The following is a 26,797-nucleotide window of genomic DNA, read 5'->3' on the forward strand; positions in this document are numbered from 1 at the left end:
CAGAAAGATGCACCTGTACTCACTCTAACGTCTAATTTAAACACGAATCCAAGTCCTTTCATGTGAATCAAGGGAAGTAAAATCACGAAGGCTGTCACCCCAGACTGCTGCCTCTGGTCTGAGAGCCCTTTGTTCCAACTCTGCCAACACATCCCCTAAAGGACTAACCCTGACCTCATGTGGGATCAGGAAAGACCTCCTCGATGCAGTGACGGTGGAATGGAGATCCAGAGGATGAGCAGGACTTAACCAGGAACAGACAAGAGGGAAGAGATGAAATAGAATGATTCCATGGCCATAATCACCTGCCTCTAACCTGGGGCTCTCACATCAGCCCCAGTCTCACCAGACATCACACTCCTGAGCCACCAGGACTCACCTTCAGTTCCACTGCACGGTTGAAGTGAATCCTCAGTACTTCTTTGATTGCTGTAATGATGTACTCCTGCACAGCTCTTCTGGCCAGCACTGCAAATGAAAGCAAACCACCAAATGCCTTTTCATGTCATTATGAATAACAAACACACCAGACTTCTGGACCCCAGCACTGTGCCAAAATGTGTTAGCAGTTCCAAAAGTCTTTTTGTAAAATAAAGGCCAGACCAAGACAGAACAGGGGTTAAGGATCTAGTTGCTGCTAACTACCTGGAGAAGAACAGCAGTGGGGACCTTGAAGACACCAGGTCAACTCTGCATAGCATCAGCTCAACACACTAAGAAAACCCTCTTTGCCCCAGATAGGTTAGATCAGGAATCAGCAGTGATGACCCAGCCAGGGGACAAGGAGCTTCCAGTTCTCATTTTCACCTGGACAAATTCCAGGCTGTCTCTCGGCTATGTCCCTGACAACAAAACATGAGGCTTTAAAAGCTCTCAGAAGGAACATTTTTCTTTTCTTTTCTTTTTGAGACCCGCTCTGTCGCCCAGGCTGGAGTGCAGTGGCGCAATCTTGGCTCACTGTAAGCTCCGCCTCCCGGGTTCACACCATTCTCCTGCCTCAGCCTCCTGAGTAGCTGGGACTACAGGTGCCTGCCACCACGCCCGGCTAATTTTTTGTACTTTTAGTAGAGATGGGGTTTCACCGTGTTAGCCAGGATGGTCTTGATCTCCTAACCTTGTGACCCACCTGCCTCAGCCTCCCAAAGTGCTGGGATTATAGACGTGAGCCACCGCACCCAGCCAGAAGTAACATTTTTAAAGGCCTTAAGATGTTACTCAACAAAACCAGATGACATCTTCCTCTGTAAAATGAGGTCTCCTACCCCAATGTTTCAAGGCAAAGGTGAAGAGTTTTTACCACTAATCATGGGGAAAAACGAATTCCACAATTCCCACATATTAAAATTTTATGTAGGAAATAAAATATTTCTCATAACCAAAGCCTAGTTCTGTTTGACTGTTTTCATATTTTAAAAGTTCCATTTAAAAATCTATACTAATAAGTAAGCCTGTCTCTCAGTATTTAGTAAGCGTGTTCTTCTTTTTCCTATTTTTTCTCTCCTCTTCCATCAACTTCCCATAATGCAGAATTAGAATACACTTGATATTATCATTGTTTTCCATTTCCTGATTTTAATTTTTTAAAGTAGAGACAGAATCACTCTGTATTCTTCATTCTTTAAAACAAAAATGTTTAATTTATATTTGATTGTTTTTTTCTAGGAATCAGTGATCTGAAGTTTTTTTAAAGGTGAGTGGAGGCTCCTTTATTAGTTTATGAGACCACTGGAACAAATCCACAGCCCCAACCACCTTGCTGAGTCACACCAGCAGCCAACTCCGCATGGCCCACATAGGCTCCAAGTGGGTTGGACTATGCTATAGATCTGAAAGGGAAAGATAAAATGAGGAGGAAGGAAAGGGGGAAGAGTGGCAAGAAGGAAAGATGCCTTATTTAAGGAAGGAAATGAAGAGGGAGGGAGAAATGAGGAAAGAGGGAGACAGGAGGGAGGAGGGAGACAGGAAGGAGGAGGGGACAGAAAAGGAGGAGGGAGGGAGAGGAGGGAGAAGGAAAGAAGGAAGGAAGGAAGAAAGGAAGGGAGGAAGGCAGGGAGGGAGGGAGGGAGGCAAGAGCTAAACTCGGGGGAAACAGAGGCAGAATGGGAAGTCAGAAACAGAAAATCCCTAAATAGGAAAGCAGGAAGAACACATTGTAAGCAGCCCCACACAGCTAAAGACATCATCGGTCTAAATGCCACTCTGCAAAGTCCCCACAGCCACCACCATGACCTCCACTTTCTCCAGAGAATCTGAGAAAGCTATAAAACTGCAACATTAGGATATGAGGACACCAGTCTTTGGGAAAAGGGATCATCAGCAAACAAATATCTTACAGATCTTTTCCTAAATGAATGTTTCCCAGAGCTAAGAGAAGAGAGGTGACAGAGACTTCCAGAGGCAGCACAGGGTCAGAAAGGCCCTGGGTGGAAGCGCGGCTCATGCCTCCCAGGGCGCGTGCAGGCAAGTGCTTCCTCCGCCATCGCAGACCCCCAGCACCCAGAGTGGCTCCGCTTCATCATCACAGAGCACACAGGAAGAATCCTTTCAGGGGTACGCGGAGTCACCTCAACCCCCTCACCACACTCTCTCACTAACGGACAACCATGAAAAGGACAGCAAGGTCCAACCTAAGCAAAGGTAAGAAATGAGCCGATACTTCCTCTGGGTCAAAGGTATCACCAGGAACAAAAATGGCACTTATCTCCGCTAAAAGACACAATTTAACAGCATGGACACTCACACACAACTCTGGACATTTACAAAAACTGTTCAAGTGTACTTAACAATGGCTGAATTTTACTCCAAAGAGCTGTTAAAAATACATGGATACCTAATACAGGCACCAAATGTCATTAAGTGTACACCACATATGAAAGTTAAATCCAGCTATGAGGACTCCTAAAGAAGCTTTCAGTGACTCTTTAAATAAGCTGCTTACAACTGACCACTTTGTAACAATTTTGTACCTACTTTGTAATAATTTTGTAAGAAGGAAGAAAAGTATCATGAGCATGAGAAACTCTTTTCCCTCCTCCCTGGACTGCTCTAATCTTCAGATTCAAGTTCATGATGTTGCTCCAACCACATTTCCAAGCATAATTACCTGCTCCTCCCATCACAATGCCTAATCTCCAGCCATGATGACAGTCTCCTCCCCCAGAAGACACTTTCTCTTCATCCCCAGATGACAATTCTACTTTTCCTTTTGTGGGAATCCCCAATTTCACATTCTTCCAAACCCGTCTCTGATTATCCCAAATAGCCACTCTTGGAGAATTCCACAGTCACTGCTATTACTCTGTGGTTCAGTACCACCCTCTAGGCCCTGAGCTGCTCACAGGAGGGCCGTGTCTTACCCATCTGTATATCCCTAGAAGCTTCCAGAAGCACCTCACACATACTAGGTGCTCAATCATTACTTGCCATGTGGAATAACGAATGTTTCCCTTTGGCGTGTGGGGAGCAAAGGCTGTCCTGGACTCATTCTCCAAAGCCATTCCCACAGGTAGGGTGTTGATCACTGACGTGTACCTGCCATCAGGATCCTCGCTCCCACCTGCCCAGAGGGATGTGGCACTGTCACAGTGAGCAGAGGCTCCCAGCAACCCCGACCACAGAGAGGAAAAGACCCAGCGTGTTCTCCTCCTTCTCCCCCTTCCACATTCTCTGCTCCTCTCCTTCCCGGTCCACTCCACCCCACTCCTCCCTACCTCTTCTGCCGTTTTCGTCCCCTTTTTCATTTCTGTCCTCCACTCCTACCAAAATCAAAACAGAGGACAGGCTGCTCGTCACCACCAGGCTGTGGTTCAGCACACAGTCATGACCCTCGAGACCACATACACCTGTCATGTCTCATGAGGAAAAATGCAGAGACCCTGACCAAGCGGGCCACCGTCGCGGGACATGACCCTTGAAATCAGTCTACCTCTCAGGCATGCCCTCAGGTGGGCACCAGCTTCACGCGGCCACAGCAGCCATGCAACTGCAAGGGAAGCTGCTGGCCAGTCTGCTAGCAACCCAGGCTGTGGTGGGGAGGAGACCAAAGGCTGATACTGGATTCAGAGGATATTTAGTCACTACTTTTCTTTCCTCGGGACCCAAGGAGCATTTACAGGGACCTATAAGAGCAAAGAGTCACTTTACTTTTCTTTCCTCGGGACCCAAGGGGCATTTACAGGGACCTATGAGAGCAAAGTGCAGTCTCCTTTCAAGGAAAAGTAAGAAGAGTAAATGAGTAAGAAATTGCAAGGGTTGCCCTTACATAGTTGCCCAACTCATTGCTTGAATTAAACAAAAAAGTATTTTGTTTAAACTATGTCATCCATGCACCTACTGGGTTATGGTAGGACAAAGATCCTACCAAGAACTTCCAAGGCTTGTTTAGTTCTTGTATTTGTTCTAATATTTATTCTCCTTGTGACTGCTGACTAATATGCACCATCCCGTGCATGCCTCTGATGTACTAGGCAAGGGCTGAGCGTTCTGCAGGGACTAACGCATTTACATCTGAACAACAGCCCAATGAAGCAGGTTTAACTAAGCTCCTTGTTTAATGGGTGAGGCAGCAGACGATTAGAGAGGATAAATAACTGTTCTGAGAACTCGCAGGAGGTAAGCATAGGAGTACTACCTGGGAGTTAACTGAGCCCAGCGCCTCTGCTCTTAACCATGAAGCTCCAAGCCTCACAGGCACTGCACACAAGCTCCTTAGAAAGATTGCCCACCCCAGAGAGGCGGCAGGAAGCTGGGCCTTACCAGTTGTGATCAGATAGGCATCGGGGACTGTGATATCACAAACATATGGCGGCTTGGCAGTAGCCAGTGTTGGTGTGTCGACTGTTGCTTCGAGAGTGAAGGCAGTCACGGGACGCAGGGATGGCAGGGGAGGAGCAGCACTACTCTCTGGGGGGCTCTGACTTGCGGCGTCACCCATCAGGGTGGAGTCGAGGGGACCACCAGTGGCAGCACCGGTGCTGGTTGTGCTCACTTCCGTGGAGGTGTTCAGTGGCACCTCTGTGGGTGTGAGTGATGGGCCCACGACGGTCAGCTCTGTGGGCAGAGGGAAGGGGGTTGCTTCAGAAACAAACGAGGATCCTGATGGCAGGTACGCGTCAGTGATCAACACCGTACCAGTGGGAATGGCTTTGGAGAAAGAGGCCAGGACAGACACGTGACCGTCTAGAGCACTGATTTGGTCGTCAGGAGGTGTCAGAGTTGAGAACAAAGAAGACTCAGTTAAAATGGGCGTTGTGTGGACAGTGGTCAATGGTGATGTTGCTTGAATCCCGGCAGTCAAAATGTCAAAAGACTCAGAGCCGGGGGGCACCAGTGCAGTGACTGCGGATTCATGGGAAATGAGTGAAGACTCAAGATAGGAGGTAGTTTCAATGAAAGCTGAGGTAAAATGAGCTTCTGAATCCGTCAGTGAAACCGTAGACGCTTCAACAAACTCGAGAGAATCAGAAGGGAAGCTTGACCATGGTGACACCTCAGAACGGCTAGGTAGCAACATGATGGTGTTTAAAGGCAGCTCGGAACTTGGCTGGAGCTGCGAAAACTCAAGATTTGTGGAACTGGGAAGAGACAGCTGAGATGACTGCAGATCACTAGAGTCAAACAATGTAAATGTCTCAACCAAGGGAGAAAAAGACTGAGATGTGAAGGGGGACAAGTCACTCGGCATCAGAGACAGAGACGCAGGTGCTTCCGAAGGCGAAGAGATGGAGCCGCTGAGTTCCAGCGGGGGTGTTGAGAAAAAGCTGGATGCAAAATCCAAAGCACCTCTGGGTTTATGCTCAGAAAAACTGGAACGTTCTTGGTCAGAGAAAAGTGAAGACTCCACTGAAGGAACCAGACTATAAGGCGTAAAAACACTCGGGTCTCTGACGGCAAGCGACGGTGTGTTTTTGTTTGCTATGACAGAGAAAGATGAGTCAAGGAGAATGCTGGTGATGACCGAGAAAAATGCAGTGGTCACGCTGGATGGCGTCACTTGGGTTTCAGCAACAGACAAGGAGCCAGCAGTAGGATCAAGTGACGCCGGCACAGAGAGGCGGCCGTGGGCAGGGGGAACCTGTGTGGTTGTAACACTACTCATATCCACCTCGGCAGAAATGCCAACACTCGTCTCTGAGATTTCCATGGATCTAGAAGAAAGTGGGACGATAGGTCTGGAGGGGAAAAGCGTATTAAATACTTGAGGATCTTCCTCAAATTCAGAGAAGTCTGCTACGACGCTACTCATTAGAGAGATGCTGCTTTCTTCCAGCACGGTCATGCACAGAGTCTCGGCACCATCCCCTGATCCCACGTCTTTCTCCATGAGGCTCGTGGCCAGAACTTGCTGAGGTGAAGGCACAGTGCAGGCCGCACACCAAGTGTATGGTCTGAATGAGGACACCGGGCTCAGGATATGAGTGTTGTCCACAGGACCGGGGAGGGCTGAATTGCTATGCAATTCGGATGTTTTGCTGGAGTCGCTAGGGAGAAAGGGGTTAGATGAAACATCAGTTGGTGAAGCAGAGGACGCAAATGCAAGAGGAGTTGAAAGCAATGGAGAATGTGTCCTGCTGAATGCAAGGGCTGCGTGCGATGCAGTCACAGTGGGGTATGTTCTTGGAGAGATGGTTTCTTCTAGGCTTTGACTCAACACAGTGGTCACATCAGTGTATCTGTCTGCACTTGTGGCCCAAACCTCCTCTGGAGGCTGTGAGACCTCCCCCAAGGAGGGCAACGGTATAGTAATGCCGTCGCCTAACGGCTGTGGCATTAAAGACCGGGAGCTTAAAAAAAGGGTGGTTTCCACACCCTCTGTTAGGGAAGCCACAATCTCTGGCAGAGTCCTGCTTGATAAATGACTGTAAGCATCAGTAGGATAAAGCACCAAATTCCTGCCAGGAGTTGGAACGATGCCCTCAGAGGTGCGAAAAGCTGACCGAAAGGTGTGGAAATGACTGGCGGACTCAGCATATGCCGCTGGTTGTCGCGTTGTGTTCTGCCAGCCCGATGTCACTTCTTCATCTTGTAAAGAAACCATGGGTAATGATGGAGTGAGCATAGGTTCTAATGCTTCCCTGGGCAGCCCTGGTGGGCTGACTGTGATATACTGTATTGGAGAAACCATCCGTGGAGTGGTCCAGTGAGTATCTGGCAGAAAGTTATCCATCTCATCGTCATTGACGGCCACCTCTTTACTCGTCACTGACACGTAAGTTGCCACAAAGATGCTGGGATCTGCTGTACTTTTGGTCTGTTTTCCTTGGTTAAAAAAGGCTGTATCAAAAGTAGTGGCAGACGGCGGGGCTGTGACATGGAGAGGACTGCTGTGCTGGGAGCCGGGAGCAGTTTCTGTTAAGGCCACTTGTGCAGCGCTGTGCCCAGTGCTTTTCTTCAGCACGAGCTCCATGGAGTATAAAGAAAGGTTGTGCTGTTCCGGAGAGAGCTCATCTATCAAGAAAATCAGAGCTGGGTTAGTGCAATGCATTGGAAGTCACACAGCTAACGTTTTGTTTCAGGCATGAGAATTTACTCATTTAACAAACATCCATTCACCATAAATATCCATGAATCACCGTCAGAAGTTAAACAGCTAGCTGGAAACGAGAAATTGACAGAATTACCATCAGGACAATATCTGCAAATATTCCTAAACTTGGGCACTGTTTTTACCTAAGCTGTGTATGTGTGGGGGTGGGGAGGGCATATTTACAGTTTTTCCCACAGAACCGTAGGATACTGGAAACAGAGGGGGCTGTTCAGTCCATTTTCTCTCATTTATGACATGAGTAAAGAAAGGTTTCCAGAAGGTAAATAAATCAATTATAAGACCACCCAGACAGAGTGGAACTGGAATCTGAATATAAGGCTTCCTTGACTCCAAGGCCTGTGTGTTTTCTCTTCAGTGATAGGAGCTGGCTGCTACGAGAAATGAACATGACAACTCATTGCATCTCTCACTACCCAAGTAAGAGAGTTCCCCAGTTCCTCAGCTGTGCTCCCCAACACAGTTGCTGAGGCTTCCACATGAAGGCCCCAGGCTTCCTGCAGCCTCAGCTTTCACCATTTCCTGCCCCACTCTAGGCCTTCCCAGCTATGCTCTGGCACCTGCAGTGCCCCAAACCCAAACACTCTCTGGCCTCCATGGCTGTGCACATTCTCACCCCCGCCTGGAATGCCCTTCCCAGCTCTCTACATGGATGGATCCTCTCACCCCCGCCTGGAATGCCCTTCCCCAGCTCTCTATATGGATGGCTCCTTCTGGCCCTTCAGATGCAGCACAGATATGAGCTTCATCCTCGATGCTCTGAAGTTGGATTCGTGCCTCTCCCTAGGCTTCTCCCTGTCCTTATCATGCCCACTGAAATGAACTATCTGATCACTAGATTCTGGGCTTCCTAAGGACAGGCATTGTTTACCTGTCTCCCCAGTGCCTAGCACAATAAGTGCTAGGAGCTCAATTGACATCACTTGGATTGATGAATGAATGAATGAATGAATGAATGAAATCCAAGGATACCAAGTTCTGACAACAAAAGCCAACATTATCCCATCATCCATTCAAACTTTTGTATTCCTTAACTTGTGACTGCTGTCATTATCATTTAGTAAGTTGAGGCCTCTCCACCGATAATTCAGGTATGACATAGCCTAGAGAAAAAGGACAAGTGATGGCCCAGCCACTGATGAAAGCCCAGGGCCCAGGGACTGTCCTCTGCAGCCCAGGCTGAGAACTGAGCAACTATCAAAATGCATAACAACACCTCGTTTCTCTAATCCCAACAGTCTATCAGAACATACCTGTGTGAAATGGTATAAGGACAGTCTTGAATTTACTCTATTTTTTTAAGTAAGTCATTTCTATTCTGTTTCTAGCAACATGGCAGACTAGAGATCTTGAAACTGTCTACTTCAGAACATTTAAGATTGCTTAATAAATGTTTAAAAACCATCTTCTAAGTGACTGGATGGCCTGCAAGACAGTAAGGGGAACGTGCTGAATCCAGGAATAAAACAGGAGCTGCTCAAGGGCAGTGACTGGGGACCCAAGGCAGGTACTGGACCAGCTGGCCTGTTGTTTAGGCCACAACGGAGATGAGGGACAAGTGTTAGCCTAGATAAGGAAAGAACCCAACTGAAGACCATTTTCCAAAAGTGGAGGCCCAGGAAGTGTCATAATCTCAGGGAAAGAGTGAATTAGGAAGAAAAATATCCACTTTTCAGAAGACAGCAAAAACAGGCATCGGTTTCTAATAGTGTCTGACTTGAGAACACCTTGGACTGACTTTCCCTTTTCCCTGTTGAACTCTCCTCAGTCTCTCACTTCTGTTCCTCAGGATCATGTCCTAGAATAAAATATGCACATAAACCCACGTCTCAGACTTTGCTTTCTGGCGGAAAACCCAGGTTAAGACACTGCTATGGCTTATGTATTACGTGCTCCCAATATTCCTATGTTGAAATCCCAGGACCTCACAATATGACCATATTCGGAAACAGGGTCAGTGTAGATGTAATTAGCTGAGATGCGGTCATACTGAAGTAGGGTGGGTCCCTCATCTAATATACTGGTGACCGTATAAAAGATGGAAATTTGGGCCAGGCGCGGTGGCTCAGGCCTGTAATCCCAGCACTTTGGAAGGCCGAGGAGGGCGGATCATGAGGTCAGGAGTTCGAGTCCAGCCTGGCCAACGTGGCAAAACCCCATCTCCACTAAAAATACAAAAATTAGCCGGGTATGGTGGCACACACCTGTCATCCCAGCTACTCAGGAGGCTGAGGCAGGAGAATCGCTTGAACCCAGGAGGCGGAGGGTTCAGAGAGCCGTGATTGCACCACTGCACTCCAGCCTGGGAGACAAAGTGAGACTCCGTCTCAAAAAAAAATAAAAATAAAAAAAGGCAGAAATTTGGACACAGACATACACAGAAGGAGAACACCATGTGAAGATGAAGGCAGAGAGCATGATGATGCGTCTACAAGTCAAGGAACAGCAAAGATTGACAGCAAATCACCAGCAGCTAGGGGACAGCCCTGAAGCAGATTCTCCCTCACAGGCTTCAGAAGGAAGCCACCCTTGAACTTGGACTTCTAGCCTCCAGAACGGTGAGACAATCAATTTCTGCTGTTTAAGCCAAACAAGGGAAAAGTATATGTCTCAGCTCTGACTTTGTATAGCTATTGTACGAAACGTCATCCCGAGTGTGGAACCTATACTACTTGTATAGTCCTAACAACTGTATGCTTAGAGTCATAATTTAAAGTGGACCAGGTCTCCAGCGCCTGTCAGAAACTAACATAAATCACACCCAGAAGAACATATTCACAGTCTGGTTTCAAAGTATTCCTGCAGCTAGAGTTGCAGAGCACAGAAGTAAAAATTATAAAATACATAGGAAAGCAAAGTACCATGAACAAAAGTCAAGAGAAATCCCATGAAGAAAGTATTTTTTTAAAAGGCCAACTAAATTGAATCAGATCTATAAAAACTTTAGATATTGGAATTATGAGACCCATTTTTTAAGGTTATATTTAATTCATTTAAAATAATAAAGACTGAAAACATGAGTAATGAGCAAGAGACTATAAAAGTTGGCCAGAAATATTTTTAAAACATTTAGAAATAAAAATTTTATAATTAATAAATTTTAAACTCAATATACATGTAAAACAGCAATTTAGACAGAGCTGAAACAAGATTTAGTGAACTGGGGGATAGGTCTGAAGAAATTACTCAGAAAAGGGAACAGGGAAACAAATAAATGTGAAATATTAAAAAAAGAAGTTAAGAGACATAGAAGACAGAATAAGACAGTCCAACATACATTTGATCAAAGTTTTAGGAAAAAAATAAAATGGAATAGGGTAGATACAATATTCAAAGACATAGTGCTAAGAATTTGCCAAAATTAATATGAGAAACGAACCATGCAATTCAGAAAGACCAAAAAATCCCAAGGAGGGTGAATTAAAAAAAAAGAAAAATCCAAACCTATACACATCATGATACCATAGACCAAAGACAAAGAGAAATTGTAAAAGCAGTCAGAGAAAAAGGAAACAGCAGCTAAACTTAAGCAAAAATAACTGCCTGACAGAATTAGAAGCCAGGTGACAATGAAACAAAATCCTCAAGTGCTGAGAGAAACTCTCTGACATCTCAGAGGTGAATAACCAGGAAAAATCTCTATCAAGACATTTTCAGCTTAACAGTGGTTATACCAAAAGAAGACCCACAGTAAATGAGCTTCTAAATAAGGATAACCTTCAAATAGAAGGGTTATTGCCTCAGCAGGAAGATCTGAGAATAGAGAATAAATGATAAACATAAGGCCAGACGTGGTGGCTCACGCCTGTAATCCCAGCACTTTGGGAGGCCAAGGCAGGTGGATCACCTGAGGTCAGGAGTTCGAGACCAGCCTGGCCAACACGGTGAAACCCTGTCTCTACTAAAAATAAAAAATTTGCTGGGTGTGGTGGCATGCACCTGTAGTTCCAGCCACTCCAGAGGCTGAGGCAGGAGAATCACATGAACCCGGGAGGTGGAGAATGCAGTGAGCTGAGATCATGCCATTGCACTCCAGCCTGGGCAACAGAGCGAGACTCCATCTCAAAAAGAAAAAAAAAAAGATAAATATATGGTTAAATCTAAACAAATACTGATGGTATAAATGAACAGTAATACTCCTATGTAATTGGTGAGTTTACAAAAGACATATTATATGGAATTAAAAGTTATGCATAGAAGCTATAAGAGGGACAGCCAGAGGTATTGTTGACTCACTAGCAGAGATGGAGATCAAGAGTTAAGACAAAATTCTGTGAATAGATTTTTGTTTCTACATACCAAAATTTGTAAATAATATTTAGTGCCATAGATAAAATATTTCTAGCTGGTTCTCCTAGCATCTGAAAGTCACCAACTTAAACCACATATAAAATGCTTAAAGGGTTATATTCCTTTCTCTATCATATGAATTTTTAAAATGAATAAATAATACAAAGATTTTTTAATCGATATTTTAAGTTGTTTCATAGCAATATTATACAGCATTTGTTGTCTTCCATACAACCTGGCTGTAGGATTCCTTGCCTAAGTGCTTGTGTTACTTACCTGTCACATCCCAAGCACAGGTAAAAGAAAACACGATACTTATTATGACCACAGTAAAATAGCAGCTGTTCTTTTCTTTTCTTTTTTTTTTTTCTTTTTTTTTTTTGGATGTTCTTTTCTACAATGAAGGCTTACAAGTTATAAACGTAAGAAGTAATAAAATCACGGTTCTGTCAAATTGTGTATCATATAAATCTGAATGTTTTCCTAAGGATAAATCATTTTATGTGTCTGTTTTAAAACTGCTATGATATAATTTGCTTTGAAATATTAGATCTGAACAAGGAGCAAATTCCCTTTTAAAAAAAATCACAACTATATTTGGAAGTGAACCGGAAGACTGCAAGAGATAAAATAACGAAGAAGAGCAACGTTTAGTGGCTAATTTATGAACCTGGGTATCTGATGCAAGCTAGAATTAAATCAACTAGGCCTTCTAAGGACAGGGTACGGGGAGGGCAAAGTGGCCAAAGGGACACAAAAATTCTCCTGACTAGAAAATGACGGGAACAAAAACTTCGTATTAAGAAATGGAAGGCAAGCCAAGCTGGGATGCTTTTTTTTCTTTCTTTCTCTCTGCCAAGCCCCAGGAGGGACAAAGCGGCTGCAGTGCCAAAGGGAATCACTTCTGCAGTTAACTCAGGAGGAGACTAGAAAACCCAGGCGAGTCTCTCTCACAGCATGAAAGGCGTCAGGGACTCTAATTTCAAGCCCTGGAGATCAATTTTCAAGCTCTAAAGCATAGGTTCACAAAAGAGAGAAAGGTTCTCTCTTGGATGACAGAGAAAGGAAAGGGGTTGGGGTGAGACGGGTGCTTCTCAGACTGTGACACCCGCCTGAATGACGCTGGACCCCGGACTCCTGCACCGCTCCCAGCTGACCCGGGCCTGCCACCCACTCCAAGTAGCCAGCGCTGAGGCCTTTTCTCCATTTAGGCAACAAACCCTTGTTCACTGGGAGCCTACCAGGCACCTGCACCTCGCCCTGGCCAGGTTCTGGCCATGCTGGACGTCACAGCGGGAAACTGCCCTGCGCTCCCACCACCAGGCCACACCAATTCCATGATGATACAGTAGTGAGGAAGATGCCCAGCTGTCTCCAACACTTGTCTGTCTCAGACTCTCACAAGCAAGACGAAGTGGTACCCTTACATTTTTTTTTTAAGTCATGTTTTTCTATCTGGAAATCTTCCTGAACCATAGTAGTCAATCATGGAATCATGTACTTTTCAAGCTTAATAGATCCTTTAAGACCTAGGCCAATCCCTCATGGTGCAAATAAAGCTCAAAATAGCACCCGCAGGGCCAACACAGAAAGAAACAGGTTCCTGCCTTCCCAGGGGCTGAAGGCTCTTCATACCACAGCGTGTTTTGTCAAATCAAGCCACCAAATTAAAGTTGTTGGCAAGGAAATTTAGTTAAAAAACATGCTAAATGGCCAGGTGCTAGTGGCTCACCGCTATAATCCAAGCACTCTGGTAGGCCGAGGCAGGAGGTGGGAGGCGAGCGAATGGCTTGAGCCCTGGAGTTCACCAGTCTGGGCAACGTGGCGAAACCCCGTCTCTACAAAATATCAAAAATTAAGTGAGCATGGTGGCGACCACCTGTAGTCCCAGCTACTTGAGAGGCTGAGGTGGGAGGATCGCTTGAGCCCAGGAGATGGAGGTTGCAGTGAGCTAAGACTGTGCCACTGTACTCCAGCCTGGGCAACAGAGCCAGATCCTGTCTCAAAAAAAAAAAAAAAAAAAAAAAAAAAAAAAGACTAAACTATGTTAGAGTACAATTGAGTTGAAAGCACTTGCTAAATTCTGTTACTAAAACTTATGGGCAGGCACACGTTTTGGACTCTGAAGCCCCGCAGTCCACCTGGGGACAGCTCACAACTGCAGGCACAGACGCTGGGAAAATACCTCCTCCTCTGAGGGCTGGCCTGGGAGGCCCAAGGGACAGCAGTATCAAGTGTCTCTAAAGAGCTTTCATCCAGACAGAAACATTACTTTTGCTTCTTTGCTAAATTGTGGAGTTTCTAAAACATGATGAGTCATCTCAAGTCTCTGTGGCTATGAAATCTACTACAAAACAAGGGCTCCTGGCCCCCAGGATTTCTAAGAGTTTACCAACAAAAGCAGTTGATCATTAAACCACTCCCCAACTTCGCAATCTCCAGCAACTTTTTCCTTTTTCTTTTTCTTTTTCTTTTTTTTTGAGACAGGTTTTGTTGTGTCAGCCAGGCTGGAGTGCAGAGGTGCAATCTCGGCTCACTGAAATCTCTGCCTCTTAGGTTCACGCGACTTGTGCCTCAGCCTCCAGAGCAGCTGGGATTCCAGGCGCCCACCACCACACCAAACCACTTTTTGTATTTTTAGTAGACATGGGGTTTCACCATGTTGGCCAGACTGGCCTCAAACTCCCGACCTCAAGTGATCCGTCTGTCTCGGTCTCCCAAAGTGCTGGGATTACAGGCATGAGCCACTGCACCTGGCCAACTTTTTATTCTTCTTCTAGTTCTCAGGTTGTCCTAGGCAGATTTTTAGTGCCGTTACAAAAACCATCCTTTCCCCTTCTCCATGTTCCATTTATCTTCCTGGTTTAGAAAAAAGTGTCTTCCCCTTGTTTCTCCACCGCAAAATGTACACCAATATCTTCTACCAAGTTACCTCTCCAACTGGTACTGGTTTTATTATCAAATATTAAGTAGATAATACTATTTATAAATATATATATATGTTATGAAAATAATACAAGGAACACTTGAGTACCGATCACCCAGTTTAAGAAAAGTACTACCCTTACCAGTGATGCTCCCAGTGTAACCCTTCCCAACTCCCTTCCTTCCCACTGAGGTAGCCACTATTTTAAATTAGGCATTTCTCAAATCCATGCTATTCTTTATAGTCTGACTACATGTATGTAGCCCTAAAGAATATATTCTTCAGCTTTGTATGTTCTTAAACTTTATCAAAATGGAATCACATTGTACATAATCTACTGCAACTTATTTCTCTCCGTATTGGTTTTCTAATCTATGTCCTTTTTTGTACATAATTTTTTCATTTTCACTTCAACATGAATTCCACCATATGAATAGACCAAAATTTATCCATCTACAGTGGATGGAGATTTGGACTACTGCCAATGTTTGTTATTACAAACATTTCTGATACGAACTTTCCTACCTGTTTTCTGGTGCACATATTTAAAGTGTGTGTTATGTACATGTGTAGATATGTATATATGTGTATGCATAAGAATGCAACTGGCTGGGCACAGTGGCTCACGCCTATAATCCCAGCACTTTGGGAGGCCAGGTGGGCAGATCACAAGGTCAAGAGATCGAGACCATCCTGGCCAACATAGTGAAACCCTGTCTCTACTAAAAATACAAAAATTAGCTGCGTGTGGTGGCGCATGCCAGTAGTTCCAGCTACTCTGGAGGCTGAGGCAGGAGAATCACTTGAACCTGGGAGGCAGAAGTTGCAGTGAGCCGAAACTGTGCCACTGCACTCCAGCCTGGCAATACAGCAAGACTTCGTCTTAAAAAAATAAAAAAAGAATGCAATCGCAGATCAGAGGATATGTTCACCTGTAACTTCACTAAATTTCTCAAAGTCGTTGAACCAATCTGTGTTTCCATGAGCAATATATGAGAGCTTGATGGCCGCAAATCCTCACTATGACTTGATAGCCCTAGATGTCCACATGTTTACCAATCTGGCTGGTGTGAAACCTTGTGGTTTTAATTTGCATTTCCCTGATTAAAATAGATGGATCACCTTTTCAATATCTGCGGGCCACTCATGTTGCCTCTGCTATTGTCTTGTCTTTTTTTTTTTTTTTTGAGACAGAGTCTTGCTCTGTCGCCCAGGCTGGAGTGCAGTGGTGCGATCTTGGCTCACTGCAAGCTCTGCTTCCTGGGTTCACGCCATTCTCCTGCCTCAGCCTCCCGAGTAGCTGGGACTACAGGTGCCCACCACCACGCCCAGCTAATTTTTTTGTATTTTTAGTGGAGACGGGGTTTCACAGTGTAAGCCAGGATGGTCTCAATCTCCTGACCTCGTGATCCGCCTGCCTCGGCCTCCCAAAGTGCTGGGATTATAGGCGTGAGCCACCACGCCCGGCCTACTATTGTCTTTTCAATCCTACTGCCCATTTTTCTTTTGGGTTGTCTGTCTTTTTCTTTCTGATTTAAAGGCATTCTTTTTTTCAGATGGAGTCTCACTCTGTTGCCCAGGCTGGAGTGCAGTGGTGCAATCTCAGCTCACTGCAACCTCTGCCTCCCAGGTTCAAGCAATTCTCCTGCCTCAGCCTCCCGAGTAGCTGAGACTATAGGCACGTGCCACCACGCCCAGCTAATTTTTGTATTTTTAATAGAGACAGTGTTTCACCATGTTGGCTAGGCTGGTCTCAAACTCCTGACCTCAGGTGATCCACCCGCCTCAGCCTCCCATAGTGCTGGGATTGTAGGCATGAGCCACCATGCCCAGCCTAAAGGCATTCTTGATGTATAAATACACCTTTGTTGCAGGTTTGGTCCTGGACAAACTTAATAAAGCAAATATCACAATAAAGCAAGTCACACAAATTTTTTTGTTTCCCAGTGCATATAAAAGTTATGTTTATACCATACTGTAGTCTATTAAGTACACAATAGCATTATGTCTTAAAAAAACAATGTACATCTCCTAATGCTATCCCTCTAATGTAAATGACAAGTTAATGGGCGCAGCACACCAACATGGCACATATATACATATGTAACAAACCTGCATGTTGTGCACATGTACCCTAGAACTTAAAGTATAATAAAAAATACATTAAAAAAAATGTACACATCTTAACTAAAAATACTTCATTGTTAAAAATGCTAACAATTGTCTAAGCCTTCAGCGAGTTGCAATCTTTTTGTTGGTGGTGTTTTATCTCAGTGTTGACGGCTGCTGGCTGATGAGGGTGGGTGGCTGATGAAGGTTAGGGTGGCTTTATCTTAGACAATGAAGTTTGCCTCATCAATTGATGCTTCATTTCATGAAAGACTTCTCTGTAGCCTGTGATGCTGTTTGATAGCATTTGGCCCACAGTAGAACTTCCTTCAAAATTGGAGTGAATCCTCTCAAACTCTGCCAACTGTTTTATCGACTAGGCTTATGGAATATTCTACATCCTTTGTTGTCATTTCAACAATATTCACAGCATCTTCACCAGCACTAGGTTCCATCTCAAGAAACCACTTTCTTTGCTCATCCATAAGAAGTGACTCCTCGTCTGTTTAAGTTTGACCATGAGTGCTGCAATTCGTCATGTCTTCTGGCTCTGCTTCTAATTCAGGTTCTTCATTCCATCTGCAGTGACTTCCTCCACTGAAGTCTTGAATGCCTCAAAGTCATTCATGAGGTTTCGCATCAACTTCTTCCAAACTTCTGTTAATGTTGATATTTTGGCTGTCTCTCATAAATCACGAATATTCTTTATGGCATCTAGAATGGTGAACCTTTTCCAGAATGTTCTTGACGTACTTTTCTCAGACCCATGAGAGAAATCGCTACCTATGGCAGCTATATAGCCTTATGAAATATATTTCTTTTATCTTTTTGTTTTGTTTTGTTTTTTAAGACAGTGCCTTGCTCTATTTCCCAAGCTGGAATACAATGGTACAATTATAGCTCACAGCACCCTTGAACTCCTGGGCTCAAGGAATCCCCCACAGCTCAACCTCCCAAACAGCTGGGACCATAGGCATGTGCCACTATGCCCAGCTATTTATTTTATCTTTCTTTTGTAGAGATAAGGTCTCACTATGTTGCCCAGGTTAGTCTCAAACTCCTGGCCTCAAGCAATCCTCCTGCCTCGGCCTCCCAAAGTGAGTCACCGCACCCAGCCATGAAATGTATTTCTTATATAGTAAGACTTGAAAGTCAAAATTACTCTTGATCCATGGGTTGCAGAATGGATGTGTGTTAACAGGCATGAAAGCAACTTTAATCTCCTTATCCATCTTGATAAGAGTTATTGGGTGACTAGGTCCATTGTCAATGAGCAGTAATAGTTTGAAAGGAATCTTTTGTTCTGAGCGGTAGGTCTCAAGAGTGGCCTTAAGTTAGTCAGTAAATCATGCTTTACACAGATGTGCTGTCATCTAGGCTGTGTTGTTTCACTTACAGAGTGCAAGCAGAGCCAACTTACCATAATTCTTAAGGGCCCCAGACTTTTCAGAATGGTCCATGAGCACTGGCTTCAACTTCAAGTCACTAGCTTCATTGGCCCCTAACAAGAGAGTCAGCCATCCTTTGAAGCTCTGAAGCCAAGCATTGACTTCTCTAGCTGTGAAAGTCCTAGATGACATCTTCTCCTAGAAGGCTGCTTCATCCACACTGAAAATCTGTTGTTTAGTCTAACTGCCTCCACCAGTGATCTTACCTAAATCCTCCGGATAATTTGCTGTTACACCTTGTACTTCTATGTACGGAGAAGCTTCTTTCCTTAAATCTCAAGAACCAACCTCTGTTAGCTTCAAACTTTTCTTCTGCAGCCTCCTTACCTTTTTCAGCCTTTAGAGGATCAAACAGAGTTAGAGCCTTGCTCTGGATTAGGCTTTGGCTTATGGGAATGTTGCAGCTGATTTAATCTATCCAGACCATTCAAGCTTTCTCCGTATCAGCAACAAGGCTGTTTTGCTTTCTTATTATTCATGTGTTCGTTGTGGTACTACTTTTAATTTCCTTCAAGAACTTTTCCTTTGCATTCACAACTTGGCAATCTATTTGTTGCAAGAGGTCAGCTTTCAGGCTCCCTTGGCTTTTGATGTGTCTTCCTCACGTAATCATTTCTAGCTTTTGACTGCAAGTGAGAGACATGCAACTCTTCCTCTCACTTGAGCACTTAGAGGCCACTGCAGAGTTATAAACTGGACTAATTTCAAAATTCTTGTGTCTCAGCAGATGGGGAGCCCTCAGGAGAGGGAGAGAGACAGGAGAACGACTGGTGAGTTGAGCAGTTAGGACACGCACATTTATTAAGTTTGCCTTTGTATATGGGCAGAGTTTGCGGCACCCCAGGACAAATTACAATAGTGACATCAAAGGTGACTGATCACAGATCACCATAACAGATATAATAATAATGAAAACATCAGAAATGTGAGAATTACCAAATTGTGACAGGGACACAAAGTGTCGACAGACTTACCTAAGGAGGGCTACCATGAGCCTTCCATCTGTAAAAAGCGCAGTATCTGCAAAGTGCAATAAAATGGGGCAGGCGTACACCTGTGTTTTGGATCCTCATATCTTATGTCAGTTATAACTTCTCCAGTTCATGACTTGTTGTTTGATATTTTTAATGGCATCTTTGATGAACAGAAGGTCTCAATTTTGGCCAGGCGTGGTGGCTCACGCCTGTAATCCCAGCACTTTGGGAGGCCGAGGTGGGTGGATCACCTAAGGTCAGGACTTCAAGACCAGCCTGGCCAACATGGTGAAAACCCATCTCTATTAAAAATACAAAAACTAGCCAGGCGTGGTGGCAGGTGCCTGTAATCCCATCTACTCGGGAGGCTGAGGCAGGAGACTCTCTTGAACCCAGGAGGCAGAGGTTGCAGTAAGCCAAGATTGTACCACTGTACTCCAGCCTGGGTGACAGAGCAAAAGTCCCATCTCAAAAAAAAAAAAAAAAAAAAAGAAGGTCTTGATTTTAATATGGTCAAATTTATCAGTCTTTTGTTATTGTTTGAGATTCACGTGTATATATTTTAAGATGGAAGATTTAAGAAATTGTTCCCGTCACTAAAAGGCATTATGTTACTCTTCCATGTTGTCTTCTAATAGTTTTAAGGTTTTGTTTTTCACATTTAAGACCATGTGTTCCTGGAGGTGTGTGGTGGGGAGGCGTGGGGTGTGTATGTGTGCAGGAGACATGAAGGCAGACAAGAGTGTCCCAACCCACTGTTACTCACAGTGTGGTCCACAAGCTTTTTGTTATGGGTCTGCAACGAGACAAGGTTCTTGAACCAGTATGGAAATCAACATACTCCCTTTTCAGAGAATAGGCCATGCTAAAATTAAAAATTAAAATTATAAAAACTAGACAGCATGCTCTATGAACAGTCAATTCACATGCTCGTGTAAGTTCTTTATTTTGTCTTAACTGGAAAACAAGCGTTTGCAGAGTGGCACATTCTGTGGCACTATGTGGGCAAAGGATGTGGGATCTGCACATGGTTTTGGGGTTGGAGGCAGAGGGGCAGTACTAGGAATGCAGCCCACTGGAGAACACAGAGAAAGACAGCATGTCTGGAAAGGAACAGAAAAAAAAAATATTTTTAAACTCTAAAGTAGAGTCAGAGAAATGTAGGAGACCAGACCATGCAAGGCTTAGAAGCCGCAATGCTGAGGACACTGAGCAAATGCAGTGAGAAGCCACTGAAGAAGCTATTTAAAAGCATGGGAATGACAGGATCTGAAAAATGGTTTTCAAAAATACCTCTTGCTGCTGTGTGCAGAACAGGCTAATGGGGGCAAGAGGAGATGTAGAGAAATCAGTTATGAGGTCACTAGAGTTGAACTTGAGATGACAGCGGCTTAGAGTGGTGTATTTAGCACTTTGCTCCTCAAGAGTGTGGTCAGCGGATCTTTAGCATCACCCGGGAGTGTTTTGGAAATGCAGCATCTCAGGCCCACTCAAGACCCTACGGAGTCAGAAACTGCTATTACCATGACCCCCAGGTAATTCATGCACTCATTCAAGTTTCAGAAGCACTAGCCTGGGATTTACTTTAGGGAAATTCACATGGTGATATCAAGTATGCAAATGGATAATCCGAGCCTGAGATAAACCTGCAAACGTGAAGAGGAGAAGCCAGGGAGACATGGGAAAACCAGGAACGGGAGGTGACAAGAAAACAGAAAATCGGTCGGTACTGGGGAAGGGTCGCTGTGCTGAATGACTCCGAGAGACCAGGCACGTGCAGGCTGGAGAGGCCCTGCTGGCATGCACGTTTCTCGTGGTGGCAGAAGCCAGGCTGACTAGTGAAGGGCAGATGAGGAAACAGGAGCTCCACGCAGTCAACTTCATGAGCAGTTTCACTGCATGAGGCAGGGAAGGGAGATGGTACCTGGAGGGTCTGGGGAAGTCACTTGGTTCTGAGATGAGAGAGAAGAATCACCGAGGAGCTGGTTAAAGACGCAAGTTTCTAAAAAGGCAAAGCAGCTAATGCAAAATGTTTCCTCTACTCATGAGGAAGCATCAGATAAACCCAGTACCAGGGATATTGTACAAAAGACCTGACTTTCAAAAATGCCAAGGTCATAAAAGGCAAGAAAAGACTGAGGAACTGAGCAGACTGAGGAGCTGTGACAACTAAATGTGATGTGCAAGTCTGGACTGGACTCCAGAACAGAAGTGGAAGAACTGGTGAAACCCTGTAAAGTCTGTAGTTTCATTCATGGCATTGAACAAATGCAAACTTCATAATTGTGGTAACCCCACTATGATCATGTAAGATGTTATTATTAGGGGAAGCTGAATGAAGGGTATATGGGAACTCTGTGCATTAATTTGCCAACTTTATGTCTAAAATTCTTGCAAAATAGACCAGGCGCAGTGGCTCATGCCTGTAATCCCAGCACTTTCAGAGGCCGGGGCAGGCGGATCACCTGAGGTCAGGAGTTCAAGACCAACCTCGCCAACATGGCGAAAAACCATCTTCAATGAAAATACAAAAATTAGCCAGGCATGGCGGCACGTGCCTGTAATCCCAGCTACTCGGGAGGCTGAGGCAGGAGAATCACTTGAACCCAGGAAGGGGAGGTTGCAGTGAGCTGAGATTGTGCCACTGTACTCTAGCCTGGGTGACAGAGTAAGATTCTGTCTCAAAAATAATAATAGTAAAATAAATAAAATACAACTCTTGCAAAATAAAAATAACTCAGGTTCTCATCAGGAAGTAGTGTATGGGTTTTTGTTGTTGTCGTCGTTCTTACTGTTGTTTTGGAACCTATAATTGGAACCGAAGGGTGACTCAAATGACATCAAAAGGGCGAGAGCACTGCTGATGGAGTAATGCAAAAGTAATGACAACACCGAAGACGAAAGGACCAGCGAGGAGCCCATGGGGTTGAGAAGGAAGGAAGGAACGGAACCTGCAGAGAAAGTGGGCTTTGATCCTCCACAAGACACAGGGTACCTGAAAATTACTACCATGGAGGACAGACTGAGAGAGTGAGTCCAGAGACCAGGAAACTTTACAGATTTACTTGTGAGAATTGGTGGGAATTCTGGTTAGAGGGCCTCTCTGAATACAGTATTTGCTACTAAAAAAAAAAAAAAAAACAAGTCCAGAACATCCACTGAAAATAGGGAGTGGTTGAGGGATGGGGCGGAGTACACCAAGAGAGCGGAGAATTCGTGATGTTTGAATTGCCATATGTCACATCTTTGATTCCTGACTCAAATAAGAGACACCATAGTGTAATAATAGAGAGTGCCGGAGATGAGAGCTTGCAGGCCTCGGGCCGCATCCCCGCCCACCTGGAGGAGCCATTTCACATTCCTGGGTCTCAGGTCCTTCATCCTCTAACAAGATACGTGGTCCCTGAAAATCACTACCTGAAAAATGGGTGTTGAGATCTGACTTCCCAAGTGGAAGGAAAATAGGACCCTATGTATATGCTATGAGGTTTTCTCTAACCCTCAAACCATAAGGGGTTCCCCAGAAAGAGAAAGGGGAGCCCCCAAATGATGAATGGCCATGATACCGGCAGTGGGCAGCTTCAGGTTTAGCTGGAAAAACACCAGCTCATAAAAAGCACAGCTCTTCAGCACTGGCAAAATACAATCCCATCCAGAGAGGGATAATGGGGCCAAAGTCTCCAGAACATTCCACAGAAAACAGAACTGGGCGCTGTTCTATCTCCAACTTGCTCAGTGCCCCCCGGAGAAATCCCTCGTAATTAGTCACCCCTTCCATTTCCTCCTCTAAAGATGGAACACAGATAACAATTAGTGACCTCACCCAAACATAAAGAGAACTCATGTGGAACTTCAGAAAACAATGACTGCAACCAAACAATACTGAAATACTAATACTGCAAGGCTTTTAAAAATTCAACTATTCTAGCTAAAACATCAGTTTAGGCTTCATGGTGGGGTTTGGGGACTCTATTTCTGTGCATGACTTTCTCATTTGAGGAGCTAAGGATATTAAAATGTTGGTTTAATTGAAGGCAAGGTCCAGAGTATTTACCAAAAGATATTCTGTTTTGCTTTGTTTTGCTTTATTCTTTCCTAAATAAAATGCAATCCTCTTTCACCAACCTAGAAAGCAAGACTGTCAGCACTTTGAGTAACCAAAACAAACTAAACTACTCAATTCACTAACAACAAAGGCAAAAAAATTTCTGTCAGCCATCTGTTTCTAAAATAATTTAATTTAAAACACAGTCCTGTAACAACAGGGAAAAGGACACCATCAGCTTCCAGATAATCTTCTGTCTCCTATTACACTCAGAGCAGGAGTGGCACACGACATCCCATGACTAAGCATGAGCAGGCACCTTCCCTCCCAACAGCAGGAGCCAGCAGCAATGAACATCCACACCGACGTCCAAGCTGCCAGGAGACACCACTGCCTCCCTGGGGGGTATTAATTCCAACAAACAGTAAACAGCTTATGTGGCAGGCTCAATGCCTTAATTCGGCTCTAAATTAAGCTTTTATTTTATATCAAGGGATCAGGAGGCTTAAGAGAGAGAGGGGTCACGCCGGCTGGAAGCAGCAGCAAGGACAAAGGCACCATGTCTGGACAAAGTGGGATGTGTCTGCAGTGGTTGGAGAGAATAATACTAGAAAAGTTGGCCCAAGAGTGTGAGAATGTTGGCAGACAATAGGAAGGAATAGGATATTTTGAGCAGAGCAGCTTTTTGACCAAAGTTATCCTGCAGAAAAATCAATCTGGCAGAGCGGAAAGAAGCATAAAATAGTGCTCCATCATACACACAGATATGCATGGTTGATGTGGCAAGGAGTGTGATCAGGACGGTGAAGGGAACAGAAAAGAAGTTCCATGTCAGAGAGACTGCACTAAGGTAAAAAAGATGATCAAATTCAGCAGCCAGTGGAATGGATGGGGAAGACAGAACAAAAAGTCAAAGGTGATTCTAAGTCACAGTTACAACTGTCCACTAGGCAATTCCACTTGAGTATCCAACAGGCTCCTAAAAAAACCCTGACCCTCCCCCATATGCCACTTAATAGCTCGTGCCTGTAAGCCAGGTCCTGCCAGCACTGTGGACCCTCACACATCTTCCTTCCCACCGCCACCAATTAATTTAGGCCTTACAATGACCCGCTCAGAGCCCTGCCTCGCACAACTTCTGTGAGAGACAGGCTTTCCAGGACACTGAAGTGCAGGAAGCAGAGATGTTCTGAGTCCATGGACATTGCCTGCTTCTTCGCTCACTCTGGGTTTGGTTTGGGAACCAGGAGAGGCCACAGCATCCACAAACATCCTTTCAAATGGCTTCTGTTTCCTGGGTGGTGTCTTAAGCCCCATATGCAAAGGGTGGCAGCACTTCCAGCATGACAAGTTCCCACCTTGTCCAAACAGTGTCACTAGAGAACTAGAGATGTGTGACCCCCCCCACCCCCACACAAACACACCCCCCAAACGCTGGTACTGTGGGCCAAGGGAAGGTATGCTAAGAAACCCTGTAACTGCCCCGGCCCTGATTAGAGGTGTGTGTTCCTAGCCATGGTAATCAGTCAGGGCTGTGGTCTCTCTCTACGAGCCATAACCCACCCTAAGCTCTGCAGCCTCCTCTATCCCCTCCAATCCATCTGGAGTTTTCTAACGTGCAGAGCTGATCAATCAATTCTGTATATATGAAGTTCATCTAAAAGGAAAGAAACAATCAAACTATGTCACCCCATTCTCAAAATCCTCCAGTGGCTCTTAAAAGCCTTCAGAAAGCCAAAGCCCTCAGCTGAGATACAAGAGCCTTCAGCTCCCCGTTCCCGCCTGTGCCATTAGTATTACCCTCCCCTACAACCAGCCCATGCCCCAGCTATTCGACGTGCTCTCTGACCACCATGCCCCTCCTCCTTCCCGTAACTATCACACCCCAGAACCCCCTTTTCCATCTTCCCCAGAACCCTGCATGTGCTTCTCTCTTGACACTTAGGTTGCATTCTTGATTTACTCATTACTCACCTGCCCCACCACCCTACCCCAGACTGTGAGCTACTTGAAGGAAGAGGCTGTGTCTTATCAGTGTGCCTCCCATGTCCAGCCCAAAGACTAACATGTCCATTCATTCATTCATGAGTCCAACAAACACCTACCGGTCATGTGAGCTAAGTGCAGGGTGTGAAGTGTTAGCCAAGATAGAAAGGTCCCCTGCTCACAACTTTATGGCTGAGAAGAGGAGACAGACAATAATGATGAACAGAGAAGACTGGTAAGGAAATAAGCAAGATGCTGTGATGGACAGCAAGGAACCTCAGGAAAGGATGAGGAGCCGAGAGAGAGAGACAGGAAGGCTGCTCCAGGCAGAGGGGGTGGCGAGCACAGTGGCCTGAAGCAGGAAGGAGATTCACAGATGTGGAAATGGCTCATACGAATGGTGCGGGGTCACCAAGAGGAGCCTGTCGTTTGAGACTCACATGGACGGTGAGGAGCCAACTCGGGGTGGATGGAAATGTGACTCTAGGGTTTGAGAGAGAAATCTGGGCCAATGATAGAGATTGGTGATAATCTGCAGAAAGATGATCATTGGGGTCAAATGACACCATCAAGGAAGGTGGGGGGAGTTTGACTTCCAAGCCCTCCAGGGATATGTTCACTTACGGGTGCTCTGCCGCAGTCAGGAGGGGCCACCTTTAGGAATCATACTGCTATAGTCTGAATATTTGTGTCCCCCTAAAATTCATATGTTGAAACCTAACCCGAAGGTGATGGTATTAAGAGGTAGGGCCTTTGGAAGGTGACTAGGTCATGAGGGCCCCACCCTCATGAACAGGATTAGTGTCCCTCTAAAAAAGGCCAGAGAGAGCTCCTATATGAGGACACACAGAAGGCGCTGTCTATGAGGAACAAGCCCTCACCAGAAACCGAGCCTGCTATGATCTCCATCTTGGACTTCTCACTCCAGAACTGTGAGTGATAATTTTCTATTGTCTATAAGTGACCAGTCCAAGGTATTTTGTTATAGCAGCCCAAATGGACTAAGACACACATCAAATTGAGTTCTGGTTACATATACTTCTGGAATCCAATTCAGTCAAGCACACATATTATTCATTCTCATCCTTACTTAATTTATTTCCATTCACTGGTAATCTTTCCCAAACCCCCTGTTCTGCCTGCTTATTGGTATGAAGAGCCTACTGATTAGCAATTATCCATAGCATTAACTCTCTAAGTGTCTATAATTATAACTTATCTCGGTTTATTTGAGGGTTCTGTGGGACTCCATGATAGGGAATGACATGAAGTTAATGTAAATACTAATTTGACAAGAAACTAACCAGATCAAATCTATAGATAACCCAGAAAGCAATTTTCTAAAACTGCAGTCCCTTCCATGTAGAGTTCTATGCCTGTTTTTGCTATTACAATAAATTGTTTAAATGCTGCCAAACAACCCAATTTTGGCATTTTAAACTTTTTATTATAGGCCAGGCACAGTGGCTCACGCCT

At 44.9% G+C, this 26,797-nt stretch overlaps 1 protein-coding gene across 2 annotated transcripts in view, besides 3 other annotated features; it reads right to left on the reverse strand.

The window, feature by feature from the left end:
* Nucleotides 1-26,797, reverse strand: part of KIAA1549 — a 150,009-nt gene that overhangs the window by 80,612 nt on the left and 42,600 nt on the right. For both annotated transcript variants that reach the window (NM_020910.3, NM_001164665.2), the window contains exons 2-3: nt 4,756-7,446; nt 380-468 (exon numbers count right to left, since the gene is read on the reverse strand). In NM_020910.3, the coding sequence (NP_065961.2) occupies nt 380-468; nt 4,756-7,446 (2,780 nt within the window). The remainder of the gene's footprint in view (nt 1-379; nt 469-4,755; nt 7,447-26,797) is intronic.
* Nucleotides 4,476-4,998: an enhancer, noted in NCBI's record as "H3K4me1 hESC enhancer chr7:138601214-138601736 (GRCh37/hg19 assembly coordinates)". NCBI's record gives its function as "activates a minimal SCP1, AML or CMV promoter by ChIP-STARR-seq in primed H9 embryonic stem cells {active_cell/tissue: H9 hESC(primed)}" and the evidence as "EXISTENCE:reporter gene assay evidence [ECO:0000049][PMID:30033119]".
* Nucleotides 4,999-5,519: an enhancer, noted in NCBI's record as "H3K4me1 hESC enhancer chr7:138601737-138602257 (GRCh37/hg19 assembly coordinates)". NCBI's record gives its function as "activates a minimal SCP1, AML or CMV promoter by ChIP-STARR-seq in primed H9 embryonic stem cells {active_cell/tissue: H9 hESC(primed)}" and the evidence as "EXISTENCE:reporter gene assay evidence [ECO:0000049][PMID:30033119]".
* Nucleotides 12,535-13,053: an enhancer, noted in NCBI's record as "H3K4me1 hESC enhancer chr7:138609273-138609791 (GRCh37/hg19 assembly coordinates)". NCBI's record gives its function as "activates a minimal SCP1, AML or CMV promoter by ChIP-STARR-seq in primed H9 embryonic stem cells {active_cell/tissue: H9 hESC(primed)}" and the evidence as "EXISTENCE:reporter gene assay evidence [ECO:0000049][PMID:30033119]".

This window comes from Homo sapiens, chromosome 7 (assembly GCF_000001405.40).
Source record: "Homo sapiens chromosome 7, GRCh38.p14 Primary Assembly".
Taxonomy (NCBI): domain Eukaryota; kingdom Metazoa; phylum Chordata; class Mammalia; order Primates; family Hominidae; genus Homo; species Homo sapiens.